This window comes from Homo sapiens, chromosome 11 (genome assembly GCF_000001405.40).
Source record: "Homo sapiens chromosome 11, GRCh38.p14 Primary Assembly".
Classification (NCBI taxonomy): Eukaryota; Metazoa; Chordata; class Mammalia; order Primates; family Hominidae; genus Homo; species Homo sapiens.
Window position 1 is genome coordinate 18,226,349 of NC_000011.10, and position 5,006 is coordinate 18,231,354.

The window sequence follows — 5,006 nt, forward strand, 5'->3', positions numbered from 1 at the left end:
TCACCTGAGCCTGGGAGTTTGAGGCTGCAGTGAGCTGTGATTGCACCACTGCACTTCAGCTTGGATGACAGAGTGAGACCCTGTCTCAGTAAAAGTAAACAAATACATAAAATAAAATTAAAAAAAAGTCAAAAAGCAACAGATGCTGATGAGGCTGCAGAGAAAAGGGGACATTTATACACTGTTGGTGGGGAGGTAAATTAGTTCAGCCACTGTGGAAAGCAGTTTGGAGATTTCTCAAAGAACTCAAAACAGAGCTGCCATTAGACCGAGCAATCCCATTGCTAAGTGTATACCCAAAGGAAAATAGATCATTATGCCAAAAAGATATACATACTCATATGTTCATTGCCACACTATTCACAATAGTAAAGACATGGAATCAACCTAGGTGCCCATGAGTGGTGGGCTGGATAAAGAAAATGTGGTACATACATGCTATGGAATACTACACAGCCATAAAAAATAATGAAATTATGTCCTTTGTAGCAACATGGATGCAGCTGGAAGCCATAATCCTAAGTGAATTAACACAAGAACTGAAAACCAAATACCACATGTCCTCATGTATATGTGGGAGCTAAACATTGAGCACACATGGACATAAGCATGGGAACAATAGATACTGCAGACTACTAGGAGGTGGAGGGAGGGGAGAGTGGGTTGAAAAACTACCTTTTGGGTACCATGCTTACTACCTGGGTTCAATATATGTAGACCAACCTGTACATGTACCCACTGTCTCTAAAATAAAAGTTGAATTTTTAAAACATTAAAAATGAATAAATACAAAGAAAAGAAAAATGCCTTCCCAGCTGGGTGCATACTGAGCTGCAAAAACTGCCAGCTCATTCTGGTGCCCCCATCAAAGCAGAGGGGAGTGTGGTGAGTTCCTGAGAGAGCTCACCATGTGTGAACATTCTGGTGCCTGCTTCTCATCTGGGGATTTCTGAAGGATGGAGTAGCCCAGGCCAGCAGAGCTTGAAGAGGTATTGGTGGAATATGCCTAAAAAGAAGATGGGGTGACTTCTTACCCAACTCTGATCTCTGCACCCCTGGGCAGGAAGAGAAGAGATCCTCAGCCATTCTGGTGGGTCTATTGAGAAAACCACTGAGGTTAGGGAAAAAGCAGTGGCTGGGCCAGGTAAGGTAAACCTTACCCAGAGAGGGGGCTTGGAACAAGGACCACTTTCAGGACCAGTCGTAGATACAGCTGTTCTTCTCTGGGCAGTTCCACCCCCATATCTGAGGGAGCTGGATTTCACATCAGGAAGAACCCTGACCACCATCTCAGTAGAGACCTCCACATCAGTAGAGAATATATATCAGCATCAGTTAGAAGCACATCAAACCAGGGTGAGGCCAAAATGATTACCCCCTCCTTTACATCTCTCCCCTTTCCCAATCCTGAGGCTGAGAAGTGTGATAGAAAGACATCTCAGAACTAGACTATCCCCACCCTTCTCTAAGGTGCTGGTGCCAGAGGAGCAGGGAAAGAGTCTCTAACCGTCACCCCTCCCAGCACTCCCACTACAATCTAGCCAACAATAGCGGAGCAGGATGCTTTAAAACAGACATGATATTGGAGCTTGAAACGGGACTGCAGTGACCTTTAATAATCTAAATAATCGGCCAGCCGCGGTGGCTCACGCCTGTAATCCCAGCACTTTGGGAGGCCGAGGCAGTGGATCACGAGGTCAGGAGACTGAGACCATCCTGGCCCACATGGTGAAACCCCGTCTTTACTAAAAGTACAAAAATTAGCTGGGCGTGGTGGCAGGCGCCTGTAGTCCCAGCTACTTAGGAGGCTGAGGCACAAGAATCGCTAGAACCCAGGAGGCGGAGGTTGCAGTGAGCCGAGATTGTGCCACTGCACTCAAGCCTGGCAACAGGGCGAGACTTCATCTCAAAAAAAATAAAATAAATAAAATAAAATAAAATAAAATAAAATGGGGAGACTAGTTAGATGGCTACCGCAGTACCCCAGATGAGAAATGATGTAGCCAGGAGCATGAGGGTGTAAATGAGAGGAAGTCAATGGATTAGAGATGAACTTTGGAAGTTCACATCCAGCGGATTGAATGTGGGGGTAAAGTGAAGGGAAGCATCAACACATTCCCCTAACTGGTGTGAGGAACAGAGAGAATGGCCATGTCATTAACTGAAATGGAGAAACCTGGAGTGTGAAGAGTTCTGACGGGAAAACCCGAGTTCATTTTGGGACACGTTAAGTTTGAGATATCTGGAAGCCAGCTATGTAGATATGTCAAGTAGCCAGTTGGATGTACAAGCATGGAGCTCAGAAATGAGTTTTGCAGGGGGAGATATAATTTTAAAAGCCATCCACATATAAGTACTATTTAGACTTGTGAAAGAGAGCATAGAGAAATAAAGAATGGGGGCCCAGAGCCAAGTCTGAAGAACACAGAGTTTGGGGAGATAAAAAAAGTCCCAGCTAAGGAAATAAAGGAGAATTGAGGTAGAGGGTAATATTATGCTACTTAGAGCTGATGAAGGAAAGAGTAGTATTATGAAGCCAAGAGACCAAATATATCAGGAAGGAAGGGGAAGGCAACTGCGTTGAATGTTGCTCACAGAGCTACTGATATGAGAAAAGAGAGATGTTCATTGTTTTTGGCAGCATGGAGGTCAGTGGTGACAAAGGTATTTTGCTGAAGTTGTGGGGACAGAAACCAGGCTGGAGTGGGTTAACATATGATCAGAAGTGAAGAATCAGAAGGTGTGTAGATGGGCAATACTTTCAACAAGTTTGACTTATTAAGAGGAAGAAGACAATGTGCAAGAGTGAAGAGTAATGTGGGTTGAAGTGTAGGTTTTCAATGGGATAATCTAATTCAGAAAGCAACTACTGAGTGCCTGGACCCTGCTAGGCATTAAGCATGCAGTGATGAACAAGATATGGTGCCTGTTCTCAAACAAGTCAGACATTTCCCCAAGCATAAGGGCTCACCTGGCCATTTAAACCAAGTGCTGGAGATCCACGAAGAAGAAAGGGGTCTCCACTGCTGAACCTCTTGGCCTTGTTCAGTGTATCACAGGTTCTGAAGTCAGACAAACCAGCCTGCAGTCCTGGCTCTGCACCTGTTACATATGTGACCTTGGAGAAGGTCCTAAACACAAACCTCTCTAAACCTCAGTTTATCCAGCTGAGAACATCAAAGCCTTCTCTGCAGCTTAAATCAGATAAAGTATTTAAACTGTAGGGCACAGTCTTGCAATTGCAATTAAAAATGGCAGCTATTCTAATTACTATTTGCTGACTTCCCATACCCCAGCAAAATTTGGATTGCCACCAGTGTGTGCTTCTGTTGAGGCTCTTACTAAACTGTGTTGTCTATCTACATATCTCACTTCCCCTTTAGGACAGGAAGTAGAATTTTATTTGAACTAAAAGCCAACGAAATGCCGGCCAGGTGCAGTGGTTCAGGCCTACATTTTCAGACCCTTGGCCAGTTGAGCCCATGAGTTAGCCCAGCCCGGCCAACATGGTGAACCCCCTTTTTTATTAAAAACCCAAAAATTAGCCAGGTGTGGTGGCCCATGCCTGTAATCCCAGCTGCTCGGAAGGGTGAGGTGAAAAAATCCCCTGAACCCGGGAGGCGGAGGTTGAGTAACCCGAGATCACCCCATTGCACTCCAGCTTGTTTGACAAAGGGAGATTTTGTCAAAAAAAAAAAAAAAAAAAAAAAAAAAAAAGAGAATAAAGATAAGGAAAACCAACAGGAGAGTCATTCCTTAGGTAAAATGAGCGGGACAAATTAAAAATTGAGTCAGGGGAGGCACGGGTGTTGATAAGAGATAAATCAGAGTCGGCCAGGCAGAGGGGCTCAGGCCTGTAATCCCAGCACTTTGGGAGGCCAAGGCAGCAGATCATTTGAGGCCAGGAGTTTGACACCAGCCTGGCCAACATGGCGAAACCCCATCTCTACTAAAAACACAAAAATTAGCCGGGCATGGTGGTGCGCACCTGTGGTCCCAGCTACTCCAGAGGCTGAGGTGTGATAATTGCTTGAACCCAGGAGGCAGAGTTTGCAGTGAGCTGAGATCGTGCCACTGCACTCCAGCTTGGGCAACAGAGAAAGACTCTGTCTCAAAAAAAAAAAAAAAAAAAGAAAGAAAGAAAGAAACCAGAGTCCAAGATAGCAGTTTCTAGGATAGAACTCCTAGGATTAGGCTTCTCTAAGCAATGTACCTTGTTTTTATTGAGACAGGGTCTCACTCTGTCATACAAGCTGGAGTACAATGGAGTGATCATAGCTTACTACAGCCTTGACCTCCTGGGCTCAAGCAGTACTCTAGCCTCAGCCTCCCAAGTAGCTGGGAATACAGGCACATGCCATCATGTCTGGCTAATTTTTTTGGTTTTTAGTAAAGATGAGGTTTCACTATGTTGCCTAGCTGGTCTTGAACTCCTGGGCTCAAGCGATCCTCCTGCCTCAGCTTCCCAAAAGGCTAGGATTACAGGCATAAGCCACCACACTCAGCCCACAATGTACCTTCTCCATAAGGAAAGAGCTCACTGGGGGACAAGGCCTAGAGGCAGAGAGTGGACAGGATGCAATGAATTGGGCAGTACAAAGTCTGTATACAGAGAGGCCTGGAAACTGCAACAAAATAAACTGTGAGGCCCTGAAGAAGAAGTGGGAATTTGGGGGTAGAAGTCCAATCTGAGATACAGAGGAGACTGATGGAAGACTGCCCAGGGCTGTGCCAGAGCCATGACTCCAGCCACTCAGAAGCCCAGGATGATGGTCAGTGCTTTGCCGGCTTAGGCTTACTCAGGAGGGGAAGCTGGGGCCGAAAATGACCAGAGAAGCTTGGCTTGGGTCATGTGAGGAGCCTGCATAGTTACAGGCCAGCTGGGAGTCCTTGGTCCCCCTCAGTCACAGGCTCATCTGCCATGGTGCTGTTTATCTTCCATATGGCCTCAGATGACCATTCTTCCCAGAAAGTCTGCCTCAATGTTCCCAGTTTCCACCAACAAA

General features: G+C 45.7%; 1 annotated feature.

Moving 5' to 3' along the window:
• Window positions 3,033–3,082: a silencer, noted in NCBI's record as "silent region_3190". NCBI's record gives its function as "represses an Ori minimal core promoter by ATAC-STARR-seq in GM12878 lymphoblastoid cells {active_cell/tissue: GM12878}" and the evidence as "EXISTENCE:reporter gene assay evidence [ECO:0000049][PMID:35858748]".